Source organism: Homo sapiens, chromosome 2 (assembly GCF_000001405.40).
Source record: "Homo sapiens chromosome 2, GRCh38.p14 Primary Assembly".
NCBI classification, from domain to species: domain Eukaryota; kingdom Metazoa; phylum Chordata; class Mammalia; order Primates; family Hominidae; genus Homo; species Homo sapiens.
The window spans coordinates 118,000,323-118,022,273 of record NC_000002.12 but is presented as its reverse complement, the minus strand read 5'-3'; the positions used below and the strand labels follow the sequence as shown (position 1 = coordinate 118,022,273).

Sequence of the window (21,951 nt, the reverse complement as noted above, 5' to 3'; positions counted from 1 at the left end):
TAGTTTACTTCAATATCTTGCTACAACTCTCCAAACAAGAACAAAAACTGCTAAGCTGGACAATTTGACATAAGTTTCAGGGATAAAGTCTCATGCCTGATGTGTAGATCACATGGAGAGCTCACCAGAATGCCCAATGCCACAACCCAAGGAGGGAATCATGGGAACCCTGGTTTATAGTCAGTGGGCCAGAAGCTGAGGTCAAAATCTGAGTTTGTAATTGGCATGTGAAATGGGGTCAGGCTCCTGGGACTGAGCCCTCACCTATCCTGAGCTCTCAACCCAACTTTACCTGGCTGTCTCCAAGTAAGTAGGATCAGAATAACAGGACACCTAGCTGGTGTTTGCTGCAGAGTTGCTTGGTTGGCATGTGGAGAAAACCCCCCACACATCTGGTGTCAGAAGTACTCTGTGATTGTGAGTAGAGAGTAGGGAAACATGCTTAGGTTTTTCCCATATATATATCCACACAAATATATGTGTGAATCTTAGTATAATTCTTTTCATCTTATTTGATTTCAGGATAATGAAAGTTGTATTCTTATTGCTATTTATTAACAGGAAGTCTCTGATTAATCCAGAAAACAGTATTTTTTGGTCTCTCTTCTAAAGTAATTTTCATTTTCTCTCATTTAGTTTTCACATGAAAGCTTGATAGAACTATAATTCCAAGGATACTGTTATGTAAATGCAGGCTATTTAGAAGTGAAATTCCTGAGTCAATTGTTTCCTTTCATTTCTAGACAGTGTAAGGATAGTACTTGAGTTGGTGCTATTAACCCCCTCCCCAAAATGTGAATGGTAGTAGGGATTCTTTGTGGGCAGTCCTGCCACTGGAGACATTTGAAACTCAAATTCCATTTCTATAGATCAAAGGCTAAATCACACCAGTGGTAAAACTAATATGTTTACAAAACAAATTTTGATTTAAACAAACCAACAAAATTCCCTTTGATGGCTCTCATTGCACTTAGGTAAAATCCAATCCCCTCCTGGTGGTCCCCAAGGTCCTGATGGGGCCAGACCATCCAGTTGGCACCTAGTTAGTGCTCCTGCTCCAACCCCTCAGGTGCAAGCTCCTCCCTATTCATGGCCCCCTCTCTGTTGGAAACCTTTATCCCGCTCCAGGTCTAACCCTCTTTCATCTCAAGTCTTACATGTTGTATCCCTGGAGAAACTTTCATTAACTTCCCACTCAAAACTGTTACTCCTGTTCCTCTTTTTCATCCCACTTTTCAACTCATTATTAAAGGCACTTATTTCAACATGCGTCATGTCATCTGTGCTGTGATGATTGGTTGACTGTGCATGCTCATCCCAGAGCTCTGTTCTCTTTCTTTTCTGTATCCAGCATTTTTCAGACAGAGGGTTGGGCATGCTTATGGCATCTGGGGGAACAATTCTTTGTACAGTTTATAAGGTTATGCATGATAATGATGCTTAACAAATAACCCCCAAACCTCATTGGTCACAACCAACACTGATATCTCACTCGTGGGCTTGGTACTCGGCTGGGCTTGGGGCTCAGGTCTGCTCTGGTCTCTCACTGGTGTTTCTTGCTTGAGGGCCCAGGTGGAGGGAGGTATGGTTGCCTGAGTATGCGGTCTCCTGGTGAATGGCTTGAGCTTAGGAGAGTGAGGGAACACAGAATGGTTCTTGACACCTCACCCAGAACTGGCACAATCTCCTATCTGCTTACATTTCTCTGGTCAAAGAAATTTTTATGACCTAAAATCAATGCAGGAAGTTTGATGTCTTTAACAACTGGGTGCTAAATGTTGGTAATGCCTCTGCTGTGGTGGGAATGTTTGGGTTACCCCAAAATCTATATGTTGAAATCCTGACTCCCACAAGGTGATAGTATTAGAAGATGGGAGGTGATTAGGGCTCTACCATAATGAATAGGATTGTGCTCTTATAAAAGAGGCCTTACAGAGGCTCCTCACCCTTCTACCGTGTAAGGTGACAATGAGAAGCTGTACATCCATAAGAAATGGGACCTCGCCAGACATTATATTTGGCGATGCCTTGACCTTGGACTTCCCAGCCTCCAGAAGTGAGGAAAATAAAATTTTTGTAGTTTATAAGCCACTCTATAGTATTTTGTTATAGCAGCCTAAAAAGACTAAGACAATCTCCCATGCTCTGTGAAAACTCCAGACTGCTCCTTGGTCCTGAATCTCTACCCTCACCCACATTGAGAGCCCTTCTCTGTACCTGGCACAGAAGAGGCACAGAATGAATATTTGGTGAAAAATTAACTTTGCCAAACTGCCGTCCAAGAACTGTTGTAAAACCTTACTGACTAGGGAATGCTACTGGCATTTGTTTAGTGTCTTTTAAGCATTAATTATTTTTTCCATGCAAAAAGATACCACATTTTAACCTTTTAGAATAAGGCTGAGTTTTTTTTTTTTTTTCAGACATTTAGTGACAATTTCTTTTAGAAATTCTCTATTCAAGTCTTATGCTCATTTTTCTGTTAAATGTTTCTTCCTCATTTGGAAGAATTCTTGTCACAGGTAACAAATATTTTTCCAGTTTGCCTTTTAAATGTTGTAATAATTTTTTGGCAGGCAGACATTGTTAACATTTATACAGCCTCATCTCTCACTGTTTTTGTTCATGGCCTGCTGAAGCACACATTTTCACTATATCAAATGGACAGACTATAATGTACCTAACCAGTCCCTTATTATGGGCTATTTAGATGGTTTATAGGTTTTTTTTCTCATCAGTAACATTGTGATGAAGATCTGATATAAGCCCTGAAAGTGGAAGTATCATATCAAAGAAAATTTTTAAGTTCTTAATATATTTTGTCAAATTACTATTGAAATCTTACTTCCTAGTCCCTATAACTCAGTTCCCCCAAACCCCAGGACTCACATCCCAGACACCCCTTCATCCCAAGACCCACATCCCAGATCCTCATACCCCAGGCCCTGCTGCTGAAGTCCTTACTGGTCAGCCTTGTGCTGAAACAAACAAGGAGAGGACTGAGAGCAGGACTGGAAGGGTAATGGGAAACTGTCCAGAACACCTCAGATGCTCCTTCTGCCAGCAATGCTTTCCCCTGAGGCCCTTCTATGGTGTCCTTTTGGGATTTAGGTCTCTCTCAAATGGCACTGCAAAGCCTAATCCTGGCCCCTTCATCTAAAAGTGACTCTGACTCTAGCTATTCTTTATTGCATTACACTGGTTTTTTTTAATTGTTGTTGTTGTAGTTGTCATTGCTTGTTTTTTGGTTTTTGTTTTTTTTGTTGTTGTTGTTGTTAATTGTAGAGACAGGTTTTTGCCATGTTTCCCAGGCTGGTCTTGAACTCCTGGGCTCAAGCAATCTGCCTGCCTCAGCCTCCCAAAGTGCTGGGATTACAGGTGTGAGCCACCACACCCAAACTACACTGTTTTTCCCCCCTTTAATAGCACCTATTTCTACCTGATATTATCTTATTAATTACATGTTTAATTTCTGTCAGTAATTATCTTGTTTGGTGTGTTGACTGCAGTATCTGCAGCATCAGGAACAGTTTCTGGCACAGAGAAACTCTTCTCAAATTGACTGCTTATTGGAATCACCTGTGAAGCTTTGAAAATCCCATTACCTACCCCCGACCAAAAGAAAGAATTGTTTAGTTATTAAATCACTTTACAAAAAAATGTAAATATTATTTTCTCCAGGAGATAGAGAATGTAGCAGATATTCTCAAACATGTTTATTTACTACTGTGTAGTTGGCCCCTTGTTGAATCCTTTTTAATGTAGCTAATAGAGTGTGGTTGTACAAACTATGAAAGTTATTGAAATTCTTTGATAAAACTATCATTTTTGGGGGAAAACGTATTGGAAGAACTCATCCAAGTGTGTGTGTGTACACGCTGTGTTTTTCTAACCTTCAGTCCAGAAGTAGAAGGGGTTTAAATCTGCTTGCACTGCCTGTGCCTCCATTATGTTACTGTAGAAATGTGACATGCTAAATATAGGATGGTGCATTATAAAATTGTACCGCTTGAGAATAGACCAGCATGCCATTAAGAATTTTTAGGAAGAACTCATTTAACCTAAGAGCTCTTTGTTTATGGATTTTGAATTTTATATGCCACTGTGATCTATAAAGAAACAAATCCATAATGAAGTCACTATTCACTACTGTGTTGTATATAAAACAATATGTTCCAAGGCAAAAAATTCAATATTCATGCCTCTCCCTAGCCCAATTAAATCAGGATTGCTAAGGGTGGAATCCAGGTGATTCCAATGTGCAGCCAAGTTTGAGAGCTACTGACATAGAAGAAACTCAGCAATATTTGTTGGATGGATGGATGGATGGATGGATGGTTGGATGGGTGAGCAAAAGAACATGGGGAATGAGAAATTTGGGGCTCTGGTTCTAGCACTCCCTCTAATGTGCTGTGTGACCTCGCTGTGTCACTCTACTTTACTGAACACCCATTGTTGCACTACATGTAGAAGGAATGAGAGAAGCCTGAAGACAGAATAATTAAAGCTTTATAGAAAACTTCCGGCTGGGAGCGGTGGCTCACGCCTGGAATCCTAGCACTTTGGAAGGCCGAGGTGGGCGGATCACGAGGTCAGGAGATCGAGACCATCCTGGCTAACACAGTGAAACCCCGCCTCTAGTAGAAATACAAAAAATTAGCCGGGCGTGGTGGCGGGCGCCTGTAGTCCCAGCTACTCGGGAGGCTGAGGCAGGAGAATGGCGTGAACCCGGGAGGCGGAGCTTGCAGTGAGCCGAGATCGCACCACTGCACTCCAGCCTGGGTGACAGAGCGAGACTCCGTCTCAAAAAAAAAAAAAAAGAAAAAAAAGAAAGAAAACTTCCTCCAGAACAAAGCTAAGCCTAACAGGAAGCTCTTTACTATGTGTATTAGGCCATTCTCCCATTGCTATAAAGAAATACCTGAGACTGGGTAATTTATAAAGAAGAGGTTTAATTAACTCACAGTTCTACAGGCTTTACAGAAAGCATGGCGCCGGCATCTGCTTGGCTTCTGGGGAGGCTTTAGGAAGATTACAATCATGGTGGAAGGTGAAAGGAGAGCAGGCATGTCACATGGTGAAAGCAAGAGCTAGAGAGGATAAGTGCCACACTTTTAAACAGCCAGATCTCGTGATGAGTGACTCAGTGTCAGGAAGACAGCACCAAGAGGATGTTGCTAAACCATTCACAAAAAATCCACCCCAACGAGCCAATCACCTCCCACCAGGCCCCACCTCCAACACTGGCTATTACATTTTGACATGAGATCTGGGTGGGACAAATATCCAAACTATATCACTATGGTACCTCTTTACCCACGAACTGGAAAGTATTTGTGAGGCTCCAAAGAGGAACATCACACAACTCTGTACTCAGTGTACAGAAGAGAGACAGAATGACTGATTTCTAGTCCTCAGATATCACACTTGGGAGACACAATTTGTGAGGGTGCCTGGAGTGAAGGGAAAGGGAGAGAGATGGATTGATCTGAGAGATTCCTCACAAGCCTCCTTGTCTGCATTGGCTGTTAAAGGTCTTCTTCAAGACTGTGAAGGGTTTCTGCTCTCAAATATGGGCTGCTTAAACTTTCTTTTTCTTTTTTAAGAGACAGTGTCTTGCTATATTGCCCAGGCTTAAGTGCAGTGGCTATTCATGGTCATGATCCCACTACTGATCAGCACAGAAGTTTTAACCTGCTCTGTTTCTGACCTGGGCCAGTTCACCACTCCTTAGGCAACCTTGCTCCCTGGAGGTCACTGTATTGATACCAAACTTAGTGCAGATCTCTGATTGGCATAGCTTACTAAAGCCCAGAACTCCTGGGCTCAAGCGATTTTCCTGCCTCAGCCTCCCGAGTTGCTGGGACATAAGCAGGTGCCACCTAGCCCTGTTCAAACTTTCTTGACGATATTATGGCTGTTTTGCTGAGATTTTTTTTTTTAAGCATGCCCCATGCCCCTCAACTCTGTTACTGTCACTCTACACCTGTTGTAACATAGGACAGTTTCTTTTTTTTTTTTTAGACAGAGTTTCACTCTTGTTGCCCAGGCTGGAGTGCAGTGGCACAATCTCAGCTCACCGCAACCTCCGCCTTCCCAGTTCAAGTGATTCTCCTGCCTCAGCCTACCAAGTAGCTGGGATTACAGGCATGCGCTGCCACGCCCGGCTAATTTTGTATTTTTAGTAGAGACGGCATTTCTCCATGTTGGTCAGGCTGGTCTCGAACTCCCAATCTCAGGTGATCCACCCGCCTCGGCCTCTCAAAGTGCTGGGATTACAGACATGAGCCACCGCGCTCGGGAAGGACAGTTTCTTACTGAGGAAGTTAGCTACTCATGCTTATTTAAAACATTGCAAAAGCATTATAACAGGGAACTCAGGGTGTGGCCTGAGTCCTGTTATTCTCCAGGCTGCTATTATATACAGCTGTTTAGGCTTGCCTGCTATGTGAGATCTTACTACCTGTTCCTAGGCATCAGTACCTGTCTGGTCACTCAACAGTGGCCACAAATTATTATCACTCTCCATTCCCCATCAACCTATACCATTTCAGTGAATGACAGTTTTAAAACTACAAAAACAACACATTTGGGAAGTTATGAGAGTAGAAATTGAAGTTTATTGGCTTCACAAAGGATAAGAGCAAGATATACCACACAGGAGGGTTCCCATCTCAATACCTTAACTTGCATATTCAGATTATTCAAATTATTGGGGACCAGGGTTTGGGGATCGTGCACAGCTTTGAGTAATATTTGCTAGTTATATTTAAGAACAAAATGGCATCCTTAGGGCAGTTCCAACTATTTGTGAGCTCTGGCTCCAGACAAACCTCTGTCTGTCAGGATGAACTCCAGGAGGAGTACAAAAGGTGCAAAAATAAAATAAAATAGAAAACATCATATATATATACACGTATATATATACACACATATATACACGTATATATATATACACACATATATATATATACACGTATATATATATAGTTTTTAGACAGGGTCTTGCTCTGTCACCCAAGCAGGAGTGCAGTGGTGTTATCATAGCTCACTGCAACCTCAACCTTCCTGGCTCAAGCAATTCTCCCACCTCAGCCTACCGGCTAGCTGGGACCACTGGCACCGGGCTAATTTTCTTATTTTTTGTAGAGATGGAGGTCTCACTATGTTGCCCAGGTTGGTCTCCAACTCCTAGGTTCAAGTGATACTCCCGCCTCGACCCCCAAAGTGCTGGGATTACAGGCATGTGCCACCGCGCCTGCCTACTCTTTTAAAGACGCTAGGGATGCAAAGAAGAGACGAAAGCAAACACGAAACCTTTTTGATCTCAAGGAACTAAAGGTCTGAGTCTGACACTTCCCATCCCACACACATATACAGAGGGAAGGATCTCTTCTCCAGCAAAAGTTTTCACGAAAGTCATCTCTTTCCTCATTGCTTAAAAGAAACAAAAAGCCAAGAAGCCGTTATGGAGCGGGTGTGGGGGCCTGTGACCTTTTGTCTAGTTGCCATCCTCCGGGACCAACAAGGGGTACATCAAATAAGGGACGCGGCGGCTCAAATGACATGAACATAGGAGTCCGCATTCTCTGAGATGTCATTCCTCCAGGAAGACCCAGGAACCGTGAATAGGGCGGGGTGGTGGGCAATATCTGAAGCGAGGTTTCCTGGGAACGCGATGCCACTGGCCAGGACGCTGGAGAGGGCAGCGGGCTTGAAGAATCCCTTCTCAAGGGGTCCGTTCCTGGGTCGTATATGGAGAAGTCTGTCCAAGCGTGTGTCTGTAAGGTCTAGAGCCGGGCGTGCATTCAGAATCCTCAAGCTCATCTGTACTTGGACTCTGACCCTGAAGCGAGGCGGTTTCCGAAGTCTGATTCACCGAGGGGACAGGACCTATTTGGGGCATCCGATGGCAGCGAGAAGAGAAGGGAGCCGAAATGCAAAATATTCTCAAGATGCAGGAGGAACCCCTCTCAAAGAGCGCCACGGAGAAAACTTCAGAGTACGGGCGCGATGATCCAGCACAACGCCAGGACCTGCAGCCCAGCCCACCTCTCCCCGGGCTGCTGTGGCGCAGGCGCAGTGGCGCCGCGCTCCGGCCCCAGCGCGCATGCTCTGCCCGGCTGCGGCGCTTCGGGCAGGCGGCGGCGGCGGCGGCGGCGGCGGCAGAGGGAGTTTCCGCTTTGTACTCCACCCCGGTAGCAGCTCCGCGGCAGGGACAGCTTCCTCCGGACGCTTGGCGGGCTTCGCTCTCGCCTTACGACAGCCCGGTCGGATCATGGGGTTGCCCAGGGGGCCGGAGGGCCAGGGTCTCCCGGAGGTAAGAACGCCTCCTCCTTCCCTGACACGTCGGGGTTCCTGAAGAGAGGGCCGAGCCGCGGGGCGGCGGGCTGAGCGGGCCCTGGGTGCGTTAGGGGCGCCCCGCCCCCTTCCTCAGGCGTATCCACCTCAGGGAAGCGCCGACCCTCTTCTTGGAGGCGGGGAGCAGGTACCCCTGCATGGGCAGGGGGCGGCGGGCGGGTGAGGACAAACTTAAGCCGCTCCCGGGTCTCTTGGGGCGCAGGTGGCCTTCCTAGCCCGACACCTGCTCTGACGCAGCCCCACGCGCCGCGGGGTCCTGGGCTCCCACCTTTCTCCCTGTCCGGGACGGGCTCCCCCACCCCGCGCCGCAGGGCTAGCCCCGAGGGCCGAGGCTGCTGGGCGCTGGAGTCACGAGACCGCTCTCCGAGGCGGTTCGGGCTCGGGTGGTGACCTTGGGACGTCTACCGCCACCCCGCAGAGTCCCGGCGGCCCGCCCCACCCGCCTTGCTGTCGGGAGGGAATGCCACCCTCCTTGCGTGGACCCGGGCCGGGGCGGCGGGAGGAAGTTTGGGAGACTTGCGCGCACCAGGGAGGTGTCCCGCTGGGTCAGCGCGCCGGGGCGTTCGGGGTGGGACGCACTCCAGGGGTGCTGTGTGGCGGGGGACCCGGCTCTGGGCGGAAAGGCTGCGGCTTCTCCAGAAGAGGGCGGGGTTCTTTTCCAAAGGTGTTTGTTAAGTACTCACTTAGTGCTAGGGAGGGGGTCATGAGTGGTTTGCGGATTTCCACGTTTGCTGGGAATACAGGGAAAGTGTATTCATTTTCTTTTGGCTGCAAATACCACTTAGCATCTCATAGGTAGTTTGCATCTGTCGTCCCTTTCAGTTGATTTTACTCAAAGGCTAGTCTAGTTTACTGGATTCTGGAGAGAAATGGAAGCCACGCCGCACCTCTGCCTTTTTCCTAAGGTTCTGGAGCAGGCATTGGGCAGGGTGACTGCTTGCTTGACGTGGTGAGTCGTCCCTTCACACTTACCTGCCAGTGACCAATGTTACTCCTCTGCATTCCTCCCAAATCCTCAGTTCTTTCATATCACAAGTATCCACTAATTGAGGGATCACTGTGTTCTGTGTCCAGAAGCTGGGAATATATATAGTCTGAAAGGACAGATTTGTTTGTCAGTGTGTGCTCCCCGAATGCAAGTCCATTTTGTTGTCTTAAGAAAACCTGACAAGCATAATGTTGTCAGAACCCCTGTATTAGGTAAAATCTTACATGCACGTTGCCTGGGATGGGACCCAGGATAGTGAACAATAGGATTTGTACTGTGACATTTGAAGTTTTCTTTTTTGCCACTTCTGTATTCTAGGCTCTCATCAAGTTTTTGCCTGGCCTTTTGCTGTAGACTTCTGTCTGGTCTCCCACGTTCTACTTTAAATCCGTCCAACCCAATATTCCACAGTACTATCAGTGGAGGTCTTTCTGGGGGGAAAATAAATAAATTAATTAATGAAGAGCAACCTGCTGCTGTATGTCCTTCGTTTAAACTTTCACTGACTGCTAAGAGGCCACACTCACCAGGTCAAGCAATAACTTATCATCATTTAGTTCAGAAGCTAGTAAATATAAATATGGATAGTCTGTGTTATTAGGATGTCACTAGACCAGTTAATTCATTAAATTCATTCTTTTTTTTTTTTTTGAGACAGAGTCTCACTCTGTCACCGAGGCTGGAGTGCAATGGCGTGAGCTCGGTTCATTGCAACCTCTGCCTCCCAGGTTCAAGCAATTCTTATGCCTCAGGCTTCCCAGTAGCTGGGATTGCAGATGTGAGCCACTGCCCTGCCCGAATTCATTCTTTTTAACCCTTTACAAAGATAGCTAGACTTGGCCTGCCTTCCAGCTTACAACAACTATAGTGGACGGAAATTGAAAGTTTATTGGGCTTTGTGTAAGAGCTCATTGTTGTTTGTCTTTGTCAGAAATTTAGCTTCAACAACTGGATGTATTAACCAGCCTGGTGGATTTTTATTGCTTCAAGAGAGGGTCTTTCATTCCCAGCAGATCAGACAGTGGCCCTTTTCCATTTGATTTCAGTGTTAATCTGCTAAGTGAATTTGGAGTCATACATTCCCATTTAGTGTCTTGTGCCAAAATTACTTCACAAGTTATATTGCAAAAGTAAACTTCTCCATGCTAGGGGTGAGTGGATGGAAGCCTGGGCCCTGCATCTGTGGTGGGGTGGCCAGTGGGTGTCCATTAGATAGGTGTTGAGGCAGTGATGATCCTATTTTTTTTTGGTTTTTTTTGTCTTCTTCTCATGTTTTCATAATAAATGATTGAACAAATGAAGTGTTCCTGTTTTACACCCCAGAAGTTTTAAGAAAGTACTTATATTATCTCATTTTCTTTTTCTGCTGACTTGAACTACAACTACTCTTTAGCTTCTCTTTTCTTAGAGTGTTTTCACTTGTAGACGTTTCTCAACCATCCCAGATTTTTTGCAGAAGGGAGAGAAGGTGTGAATTATTTATATTACTTAAGAAAATTTTTATGTCCACTAGGAACTAGTGAATGCTGATCTTCAGGATCCTTAATGGACTGGACCAGGGTCATTTCAGAGACGGATGTAGCTCAGTGCTGTCACCTCCCCCACGCCACTCCTACTCTATTGCAGGGGATTATCAGTCACTTTAATAATTCTGTATTAACTATATTTTAATATGTATACTCCCTTTCCTGGCAGTTTATACATCAAAATAAACTTTCCATTGTCAGGGATGTGATCACTGAAACATTTTATTAATACATGACTGGTTTAGGTTCACTTACTTTATGTAAGCATTAGTAGATCATTCTTTATTTAATAAGTGTGTCCTTGGAGCTTAATGTTGTTTGGATTCAGAGGAGTAAACCCAAGTATATAATATATAGTCCTCTCGTTAATCAATCAGTAGTCCAGTTGCAAAGACAAGCATGTGTATAACACTAGATATCTCACTTTGAAGAGGTTGATACTTAGTTATATGTACAGTATATAGTTGATACTTAGTTATATGTACAGAAATGCTGAGGAGAGTGGCCATTTCAGGATAGACTTGTGAGGGATGGTGTTGCATGGGAGCTGGAATTTGAAAGTGATTTCTCAGTGGTTAGAGAATATAGCCATGGCCTTGTCTTGATTGTTTTTGGGGTAGTTAAAGGATGAACCTGAAAAGATAGTTTGGTGGCCAAAGATCTGAATGTGAAACCAGACATCTGGAGTTTATCTTACAGGCAGTGTGTGTGGTGCATTGTTGATAAGGGCTGGGAGGGTGAGCTAAAGAGGGATAACATGAAAGCTGTGATTTAGGAAGGGATGAGCAAAACAAATTAAAGGAAGAAAGATGAAGAAGCATTTGCAAGAGTTCTGGAATGAAGTATGAATGAAAGGGAAGGGAAGATAAATGTGAGATGCATAGTAAAGGAAGACTTAACAGGCATTGTTGGGTAAGGGAGGACTCAGAGATGATTATGAGCATGTGAACCAGGATATCTTATTGGTGTTTTATATAGAGAGATGGTTTTTTATTTTTGGTAGCAAAGGAAGAGAGGAAAGGTAGTTCATGATAGTAAATAGATGAAAGAGTATTAGAATATTTAGATGGATTTAAGTATTAGATAAAGATTGGGGTAAAAGGAGGATATAAATTAAAAATTTTAAATCAAAATGCTGAGATACGGCCAGGCGCGATGGCTCATGCCTGTAATCCCAGCACTTTGGGAGGCTGAGGCGGGTGGATCATGAGGTCAGGAGATCGAAACTATCCTGGCTAACACGGTGAAACCCCATCTCTACTAAAAATACAAAAACAAACAAACAAACAAAAAAACGGGCGTGGTGGCATGTGCCTGTAGTCCCAGCAACTCGGGAAGCTGAGGCAGGAGAATCGCTTGAACCTAGGAGGTGGAGGTTCTCTCTGGGATCCGAGTACAGTGAGCCGAGATTGCGCCACCGTGCTCCAGCCAGGGTGACAGAGCGAGACTCTGTCTCAAAAACAAAAACAAAAGCAACAAAAAAACAAAAAAAAAGCAAAATACTGATATACATATATTAGATGAATTTATTATTTTTAAGGCAATCCTATTATGTGGCAATAATCACCCTTTAATGTATCTGGGTTGGAAGCCTTTCATATATTTGTTTTCGAGATCGAAAAGGGAAGTACAGTGAGGGATGCACTTTTGAATTCCCTTCTTCATTTCTATGCCTGTTGTCAGTAACTTCTGGATGAGTATAACTTTTTTTGTTTGTTTGTTTTTTAGAGATAGAGTCTTGCTCTGTTACCAAGGCTGGAGTGCAATGGCACAGTCTCACCTCACTGCAACCCCCGCCTCCTGGGTTCAAGTGATTCTCGTGCCTCAGCCTCCCAAGTAGCTGGAGTTACAGGTGTGCACCACCATGCTCAGCTAATTTTTTGTATTTTTAGTAGAGGTGGGGTTTTGCCATGTTGGCCAGGCTGGTCTCAAACTCCTGACCTCAAGTGATCGGCACCCCCACTTGGCCTCCTAAATCGGTGGGATTAGAAGCCTGAGCCACTGTGCCTGGCCAAGTATAAAGTTTTTGAGACAGAGTCTTGCTCTGTCGTCCAGGCTGGAGTACGGTGGTACGATCTTGGCTCACTGCAACTTCTGTCTCCTGGGTTCAAGCGATTCTTGTGCCTCAGTCTCCTGAGTATCTGGGATTGCAAGCATGGGCCACCAAACCTGGCTAAGTTTTGTATTTTTAGTTGAGATAGCGTTTCACCATGTTGGCCAGGCTGGTCTTGAACTCCTGACCTCAAGTGATCCGCCCGCCTCAGCCTCCCAAAGTGCTGGGATTACAGGTGTGAGCCCCCACGCCGGCCCTAAGTCCTAAGTGTAAAGTTTTTTTTAGAAAACACCATAAAACCTTGTTCCTGTTTGTAAGGAGTCATAATCCATTTGAGAAGACTGTCAAAGTAAACCATGGGTTAGAGAAAAAGGAAGTATTGTGCTCTAACCTTCCTTTTCCCTGGATTCCTTCAGCATGTGATGAGTAGTATATACTACTTGGGCATGTGTCTCCCTCAGCTATGAAGATTAACAGCCCGTTGAGGACCGCGGACCCATTTGTGACTCCAACAACACTGTCCACATACTTCTGTGTGACACTTGCTGAATTTTCAGAGAATCTATTGTGGTGATGTAGCCAATGTCATCTACTCCTTGGCAATGAGCTTGTGGCATCAGGGGATATACCTGGTGTTCCTTTATTCAGCATATCTTTTACCAGCCAAAGTTTTACCTTTTATTTTAGGTGGAAACAAGAGAAGATGAAGAACAAAATGTCAAGTTGACTGAAATTCTGGAGCTCTTGGTTGCAGCTGGGTATTTCAGGGCAAGAATTAAAGGCTTATCACCCTTTGACAAGGTAAGGGGAAATCTTTCTAACCATTACACTATCTTTTGTCAGAATGACATGGTTAATCATGGCAAAGAAAGGAGGAAAAGATGATGTTTTAACTTCTTCCATGTCTGTGTTTCCATTTCTTCCTAATTCAGATTCATTATGGAAGTGTTCAAACTTCTTTTCAAAGACAGAAATGATGTATCAGTGAATACGTCAGTTCCTTTTCTGTGCACAAAGCTTTAGGAAATGCAAAGAAGCAAAATAAATAGTTCCTTCTTTCAAGGAATTTACAGTTTGGGTGGGGATTATAAAACTTATGGAAAATAAAATAATCAGAGTTAATAATGAGCTATCCCAAGTCAGCGTGCTCACAGACGGTTGCCAGATATTCTGCGGATAGTAAATGCTCTGATTTAGGATGAGAGAGAGATCGCTATGCAATGAAATCTTTTAATTCAGCAGAACCTTGAATGATGATGCACAAATCATAGTAATAGGTGTTGAGGACACAGAGAAAAAACAGAGGCACAGTTCTCAAAGAGCCCAATTTCTGTAGAGTGGGGATGAGAGACAAGTGAATCAACATGCACAGAATAAATGGCATGATGCAGAAAGTGCCACCGTGGACTGTGCACAGAAAGGACGCATTCAAATCACACAGGGCAGGCTGTGGAAGACAGTGCTGAGTGCTCCACGGGGTCACAGTCCTGGCTGTGCCTAACAGAATCACTCTGGGTTATTTTATAATACAGAACCCAGGATTCACTCATTGAAATTTTGGTTAGCTAGGTCTGGGCTTGGGCCCTGGAATCTGCATTTTTATTGGGCAACTTGTAAGAGTCTAAAGCAGCCAGGGGTAAGATTTACTGTTTTTGTTGTTGTTGTTTGTTTGTTTGTTTGAGATGGAGTCTCTCTGCTGCCCAGGCTGGAGTGCAATGGCTCAATCTTGGCTCACTGCAACCTCTGCCTCCGGGATGCAAGTGATTCTCCTGCCTCAGCCTCCCGAGTAGCTGGGATTACAGGTGCCTGCCACCATGCCCGACTAATTTTTGCATCTTTAGTAGAGAGGGGTTTCACTGCGTTGGCCAGGCTGGTCTCAAACTCCTGACCTCGTGATCCACCCGCCTCAGCCTCCCAAAGTGCTGGGATTACAGGCGTGAGCCACCGCGCCCAGCCTTATTGTTATTTTTTTCTAATATCAAGCTGTGTCTGAAAAGGATTTTGTTTCAAAATGGGTTTTTAGTCTTACTCTCATTTGCATCTCAGAGAATTCCTGAGGGAAAAGTAGAGCCAGGGATTCTCAGGTAGATAAGAAAAATAAGATGTATGGAAACAAAATGTCAGCCTTGCTGCCCATGTGTCTGGTCTATAAAACACAGAATTAATGTCTGTCCTTTTGACTATAAAGAGGATCTATGTACAGTATGTTCATTTAATAATAAAAGTCAGCTCCTCAGTCATGCCAGCCACATTTCAACTGCTCAGCAGCCACATGTGGCTAGTAGCTACTGTACTTGTCCTTGCAGATAACGGAATATTTCTGTCACTGCAGAAAGTTTTCTGTAACGGTGCCATTTTAGATTAATTGTACTTGATGGGGTAAGGAGGACACACACTCTCTCTCTCAAGATATATAATTTTGTATGTTTACTGAGTCTATTAGAGCTATTTATAATCCATCTACCTTCCACTTCTTCCATTCTCCCCAAACTAAAAAGAGAAAACAAATATTTTCTTTATGTCTTGCAGGTAGTAGGAGGAATGACTTGGTGTATCACCACTTGCAACTTTGATGTAGATGTTGATTTGCTCTTTCAAGAAAACTCTACGATAGGTCAAAAAATGTAAGTTTTTCTATGGAAAACCTAAAGGTGGGGAGAAGGGAACTAACTTTTGAGTGTCTACTGTGTGCCAGAAGTTGGTTGGACACTTTACATAGTTTATTTTAACTTTTATTACAAGAGGTATTATCCCTGCCTTACAAATGAAACTGAGACTGAAAGAAGCCAAGGTCACACAGCTAGATCAAAGTTTGTAGTGACTACTTAGTTTATCTTTCAAAGACAGCTCATATCAGTGGAAGTTGATTAGAAAGAGGAAAGGAGATGCTTTCCTTCCCCATTGCCTCTGTGTAAGGCAGAGTCTCACTTTGCCTGTCTTCGAGAGAAAGCAGCATGGTCTCCTTGCTAGAGATCTCACCTGAGCATACCCTGCCCAGTCTTTTGTAGCACAGCAGCTCACCAGGGGCTTGGCCATTTCATTAGACCACTTGGGATACCTGGTTCTTCTCCCAGCCTTCCAGTGGGTCTCTGTGTGGCCTTGGAACAGCCACTCCTTCTGTGGGCCTCAGTTCTTTTATCCGTCAGAAGAGAGATTCCTGACCTCAGATATGTGTGATTCTGTGACAGTCTGTTTATTCATTTTTCTGAAGTATTACCTTCTCCCAAGAGAAAACACTTCCAAAAGGAACAAAGGGGTCTTATAAATAACAGGAAGCAATAATGGTGGGAAAATGGAGCAAAGGGGGAAAAAAAAGTGGGGACAAAAGGCAGAGTTGGGGTAAGACTGCCACAGTGATGGGTCACAAAATGCTTTGTTTTCCTACTGTTGGCCAAAGATTTGCCCCTGTGTTTCTGGCAGCCAAGTGGAGGTGGTATCTGTGAGTAACTGAGCATCAGGAATGTTGCAATTTACTTTATATTTATACAGCATTTTCCCTGTAAGTTTCTAATTGCCTTTGTTTTTTTCTTGTTGACAAAAGAAGCATATGCCTTTAGCTGTAGCTCAGATCAGCCAGCTTTTTTTTTTTTTTTGAGACAGAGTCTCACTCTTATCACCCATGCTGGAGTGCAGTGGTGCCAACACCACTCACTGCAGCCTCGACTTCCTTAAGTGATCCTCTTACCTCAGCTTCCTGTGTAGCTAGAGCCACAGGCATACACCACCACGCCCAGCTAATTTTTAAATTTTTTGTAGGGATGGTGTCTCACCATCTTGTCCAGGCTGGTCTTAAAACTCCTGGGCTCAGGCAATCCTCTCGCCTTGGCCTCCTGGGATTAGAGGTGTGAGCCACCGCACCTGGCCTATGCTTCTTAATCAGGCTGTTCATTAGCATGAATTCTTTGTCTTCTTGAGGATGCTTTTCTTGGAAGCTTCTGTCTTTGAGCTGATTGCTTCCTATACCTGTGGCACTCTTGATGTGCTGGTATTTCTTTTCATTGCATTTTTTCTGTGCTAGTTTTACCATTTCTTGGATCCCACGTGTGCTTTTTTCCTAAATTCCCCTTGAGTTTTCCAGTGGTCGTTAGGCCCTGTTTTCATTTCGATATCCTTAGGGAATATGGTAGACTCCCATCAGTGGCAGCATTCCATTATACTTTTAATAGATATGGGAACACAGTATTTTTCTATGTCTTCTCAATTCCTTGTCTATATTTCTGAAATCTAAAAGACACTGAAAACTGTTTTTTCTTCTTTTAGGTTTAGATACAAAGCTTATTTGGGAGCAAAACATAACCTGAATTGACTGAATTTATAGCTTTATTGATCCCACTTATGTGACTATTTATAAGTTTTGCTAAATAAATTTTTTTTTATTATAGAGTGTGACTCTAGATTTTCCTGGGTTCTTACATAATATATAATATGTATCCCTTAGGTATTCTAAGGAACTAAATCTAAAAAATTCAGAATTCTGAAACACATCTGACCCAAAGGGTTTGGATAAGGGATTGAGGATGTGTTATATTCCCTGGTAAGTGCTTGATGTGTGTCTCTTAAGTGCAGAGCCATGAACTGTAACTGTGGGCAAAGCTGGAGACGGGTTTACGTGACTAAGGACCCACCAGAGTCAGCAGTGCATCAGGTAGCTCATTCTTTATTATCTGTAGAAGACATGTTACAGCCACAGGGTACTGAGTCATCTAAAAATCTTTTCTGTTTGGTTTTGGAATGTGTTCTGTTTGGTGTTCCCCCCCACCATAGAGTTTCTGGTTAGGTGCAGTTTAGACTAAAACTGCCTTATGTTTGCCGTCTTCCAGTATATCTAGTCAATTTAATGGGTGGGCTGGACGTATGTCCAAGGAGCACACTTGCCTATTGACGGCATGGTTGTCTCTCAAGCTGTCTTCTTTATGTGCCCAATTGAGGCCTTGTTCTCTGTCATCTTTCTTTGCTGAGAGTTCCATAAGCTTCTATCCTCTACTTCTATCTTCTTCTGAAGCCCCATTAACAGAGGGTCCTATGGCCAGAGGCCCATAAATGGGATTTTACATTTATAACTGAGTTCATTTCAACAACAAACATTTTATTGGGCATCTGTGTTCCAAGCACTTGCATGTGTATTTTATTATTTTACCTTCACTACCGCTTTGAGTAGGGATTATCCCTAGTTTTATGATAGGAGTATTGGACCTGGACCAAGTTACTTGCCAAAAGTTTCAGAGTTGTGGTGGAACTTGAATTTAGACCCAGGTTTAATTCACTGTCTTTCAAGCTGTTTGCAGTGGAGAAGAAAGCAGTGCACTGAACACTCTTAAAAACTAAAGGAGTCAAACTAGTCACAGCTGGGCATGTTAAAATCTTAGTCTAGGAAACCGGCCTGGTGACCTCTGCAATTGCTAATTTCTGTGATTTTTAGGAAATCTGAAGGATCCACCTAGAGCCGCAGGTAGAAGCTGAAAGGGGATTGTTAGATTTCTGGAAGAAGTCTTTCTCACTTTCTTTCCCTACCCCCAGCCTGCCTGCATTTTCCTCCATGTCCTCACCTTGGCTGCCAAGACTGTCCAGACTTGGCAGTAATTTCTGAGAGGTGGGTTTAAGAGGGTTGTAAATCCTAGGATGACCCGTGATAGCCTTCTCTCTGGACCTTTATGAACTGGGTGAGTAGGCTGGCTCCGAAGAGTGGCCAGGAAATGCCATGTCTGAAGGCAGGGGGTTAGGCTGGATGGTGGTGTGGGTCCCAGCCTCTTGTTTTTAAGCTATTATGTATGGTTCTAGGCAATTGGTAACTCTATGCAAACCAATATATCTGTAGCCACAAGAGGGAGCTCTCCTCCTGCTGAACCAAAATGTAACTAAGGAAAGGCTGTATTGATCACGTGCCCCTGCATAGTTAGTTGGGACCTGCATTGAGCAAAACCAGAACTGATATTCATTTTCATTTGCTAAGCTTGGAGTTTAGGCAGCAGTACCAGTTGAACACTCATCTCTTCTTACAAGTTTCAAGGAAATTAAATAAGCTATGAGAGTCTGATGGAGATCAAAATTTTAAAAAAAGCTTAACAGAGAACCTTAGATATGTTGCCAAATGGGTTTGTTAGTGCTTCACTACCAAGCTATCCCATGTGAGTCCCAAGCAGACCTGGACAACCACTGGCTTCCCCTGTGGGGCAGGCAACATATCTTATGGCAGAAAAGATGCATGTGTCCCAAAGACAGGCTGCCCAGAAAGGAAGGGCACCAGGAGTGGCTGAGAGCTGCATGAAAATTTTCTTCTTCCTCTCAGGACTTTTGTTTTGTTTTGTTTTAAGAGACAGAGTTCCACTCTTGCCTGGTCTAGGGTGCTGTGGCGTGATCTTAGCTCTCTGCAGCCTCAAACGCCTAGGCTTAAGTGATCTTCCTGCCTTAGTCTTTTGAGTAGCTGGGACTGTAGGAATGCACCATTATGCCTGGCTAATTTTTAAATTTTTTTATGCAGACAAGGTCTTACTATGTTGCCCAGGCTGGTCTCAAACTCCTGGCCTCAAGTGACCTCCCTCCTTGGCCTTCCAAAGCACTAGGATTACATGCATGAGCTACCATGCCTGGCCCCTCTCAGGACTTGTGGATAAATCACTCTTCACCCCTTCCTCTGTTAGGGAGGAAGGGTGAGGGGGAAGAGGCAGCAAATATTCTCCTATATGCTTCCCTCCTAGGAGGAAGATACTCCCTCTCTTCTATGAATGTGTGCAGTGAGGGATTAATCTCCCCCCTTCCATATTTTTTTCTATTAACACATTGGATCTGACATTTGATCTTATGATCAGTGGGGTATTACTGTTGTCCTCAGCAGTTTTAACCTTGGTCCCAACTTGTGAAGCTATTTTCCAGATACCAGACACTGTTTCTTAATGTGTTCTCTAGTGCCCATTCCCTGGGGGGCTGTTTTAACTTTAGTTCCTAGGTCACCTAGTTACTGTTAATACTAAGACTGAGGGGTGAAACCTACTAAGTGAATCATAGATAAGACAGTAATAACTCTCACCCAGCCCTGAGTCAGATGTTCATCTTGAGGGTATCTGTCTCCTTGGAAGGATTATTGAACTGCAGAAAGATAAAGGTGGACAAGACTTCTCTGAACAAGAAACACTTTTGGGAGACCCAAAACTTGTTGAATTTGAAGCACCTAGTAAGTTCTAAGTGACCTTTGTTTACCTGGACCTTTGTCTATTAGAACATAGTACTGTATTTGTTTATAAGGCCACAGTAGCTGCTGTGACTGGCTAAGATTTTTTTTAAAGGGTCTTGTGTGGCAATGTAACCTATTCATGTAGGCTGAGCCAGAAGCTCCTATTTCTCCAGATGTCCACAAGGCCATGCCTGGTGACTGCTTCTCAATGTTCCCAGGCTACATACCATGGCTTTGGGGTCAGGCACACCACTGAATAGTATCTTTTCTCTCCCCTTGAGTCTGATCCAATTAAGATAGTATAAGAAACAGGAATCACATAGCTAGAGATGAAATGCCAACTGATTCGAGAAGGAGGTTTCAGGCTGCAATAAAACAGACTTGCATACAAATCCCTCCACCAGTGCTGCCATAAACTGTCCTACCCCAGCTCAGGCTGAGCTGAGAAACCTCCCTAGCAGGAGAGGATGCTTTCCTCCTGACCTACAGAGAAGAAAACTCTGAGGCCTCAGGAAGCCTGGTTCCTCCCTTCTCAGTCCCACCTTGTGGTCTTCTATAGGAGGAAGACTGAGGCGAGGTGTTAGAGAAAGGTCGGTGTCCCTTATAAGAAGCAGAAAATATCTCTTCTGTATGGAAATGAGAGTGAGGATATACAGTTCCTTCAACTCTAGAATTTATTTTAGAGTATCAAAAAATTAAAGGCTACTATTTATTTTAAAAATATCCTTGTACCAGAGAGTAGAGAACTCCAAATCTCTTTTGGAAATGGGGCTCCATGTTTCATGTTAATATTCTGGGTACCTGGTGTAAGGTCTGGTAATTATTTGTTGCCTGATATTTAGAATACTTTTTTCAAACTGTTAGAAAGAGTAGATCAGTAAAACGAAATGTAAAAAGAATACGGGGCACTAATAACTTTTTATCTTACTACATAAGGAAGTTAAAAAATAGTAACGACTACCTCTAATGTTACCATCATTTCACAAAATATTTTACATCCAAAAAAGTAGGAAGAAAAACATTATAGAATAAAGGATGAAGGCAGTTTTGTGACCACACACCTACACACCACCAAATTGTGCTTATTTTTCTCATTTTGCAGTCATCTAGGAGAAACTTGTCATGGTCTGGACTAGCCTGGCATGGAGAAGTCCCAGATCCGTCTGTGATGCTGCCCAGACTTTAGAGATGCCATAAAGGCTACTTAGTATGCCTCACTCTTTGCTTGTTACTTTTTCTGAACAGAGCTCTGTCAGAAAAAATTGTCTCGGTCCTGCCAAGGATGAAATGCCCACACCAGCTGGAGCCCCACCAGATCCAGGGGATGGATTTTATTCACATATTTCCTGTTGTTCAGGTGAGAGCCTCTGTGTGGTTTCTTGTCCTCTTAACATCAGAATTCCTGTGATGGGCCTGGCTTGTCCTGTAATGGGTCCGTCTGTCCTGGATCCTGAATGTAATGGGTGTGGCTTAGATTTGGTACAGCAGAACATGGTGGTGTTCGTTGTCGTCATCTTCAGAAGATTGCCAGTCCTGCATATACTCTAGTTTCATGCTGTCACCTGATAAGATCTTTGAATGTTCTCATCTGACTTTTCATTGCCTTTTTGGTAAAAACAGAACTCTGTAGCCTGGTATGCTCTGTTCCCTTTTGACCTATCCAGCTTGATTTCATTCCTTGCTTTTCTTTGTTCTTTTTGTTCTAGCACTCTCTGGCATTCATTCAGATTTCCCCAGGTTTATTCTTCCACCTGTCACAGTGCTTTTGCGTTGCTAGTTCCTTGGGCTGGAATGCTCTTCCATTCTCTCCTTACCTGTTTAATTCATATGGCTTACTTCAACCCTTCAGATCTCA

General features: G+C 43.9%; 1 protein-coding gene and 1 pseudogene across 6 annotated transcripts in view, besides 2 other annotated features; one reads left to right on the top strand and one right to left on the bottom strand.

Annotated features, from left to right (window-relative positions):
• Window positions 5,605–5,889, bottom strand: RN7SL111P (RNA, 7SL, cytoplasmic 111, pseudogene; annotated as a pseudogene).
• Window positions 7,997–8,196: a silencer, noted in NCBI's record as "silent region_11895". NCBI's record gives its function as "represses an Ori minimal core promoter by ATAC-STARR-seq in GM12878 lymphoblastoid cells {active_cell/tissue: GM12878}" and the evidence as "EXISTENCE:reporter gene assay evidence [ECO:0000049][PMID:35858748]".
• The window catches only part of CCDC93 (CCC complex scaffolding subunit CCDC93), a 98,590-nt gene continuing 84,842 nt past the window's right edge, over window positions 8,204–21,951 (top strand). For 4 of the 6 annotated variants that reach the window (XM_011511359.2, NM_019044.5, XM_006712600.3 and 1 more), the window contains exons 1-4: window positions 8,204–8,320; window positions 13,616–13,729; window positions 15,458–15,552; window positions 21,342–21,453. In XM_011511359.2, coding sequence (XP_011509661.2) covers window positions 8,279–8,320; window positions 13,616–13,729; window positions 15,458–15,552; window positions 21,342–21,453 — 363 coding nt within the window. In that variant the 5' untranslated portion in view covers window positions 8,204–8,278. Of the gene's footprint in view, window positions 8,321–13,615; window positions 13,730–15,457; window positions 15,553–17,489; window positions 17,574–21,341; window positions 21,454–21,951 lie in introns of those variants that run through there. The other 2 variants (XM_011511361.1, XM_047444816.1) reach the window with 2 other exon arrangements.
• Window positions 8,667–8,716: a silencer, noted in NCBI's record as "silent region_11894". NCBI's record gives its function as "represses an Ori minimal core promoter by ATAC-STARR-seq in GM12878 lymphoblastoid cells {active_cell/tissue: GM12878}" and the evidence as "EXISTENCE:reporter gene assay evidence [ECO:0000049][PMID:35858748]".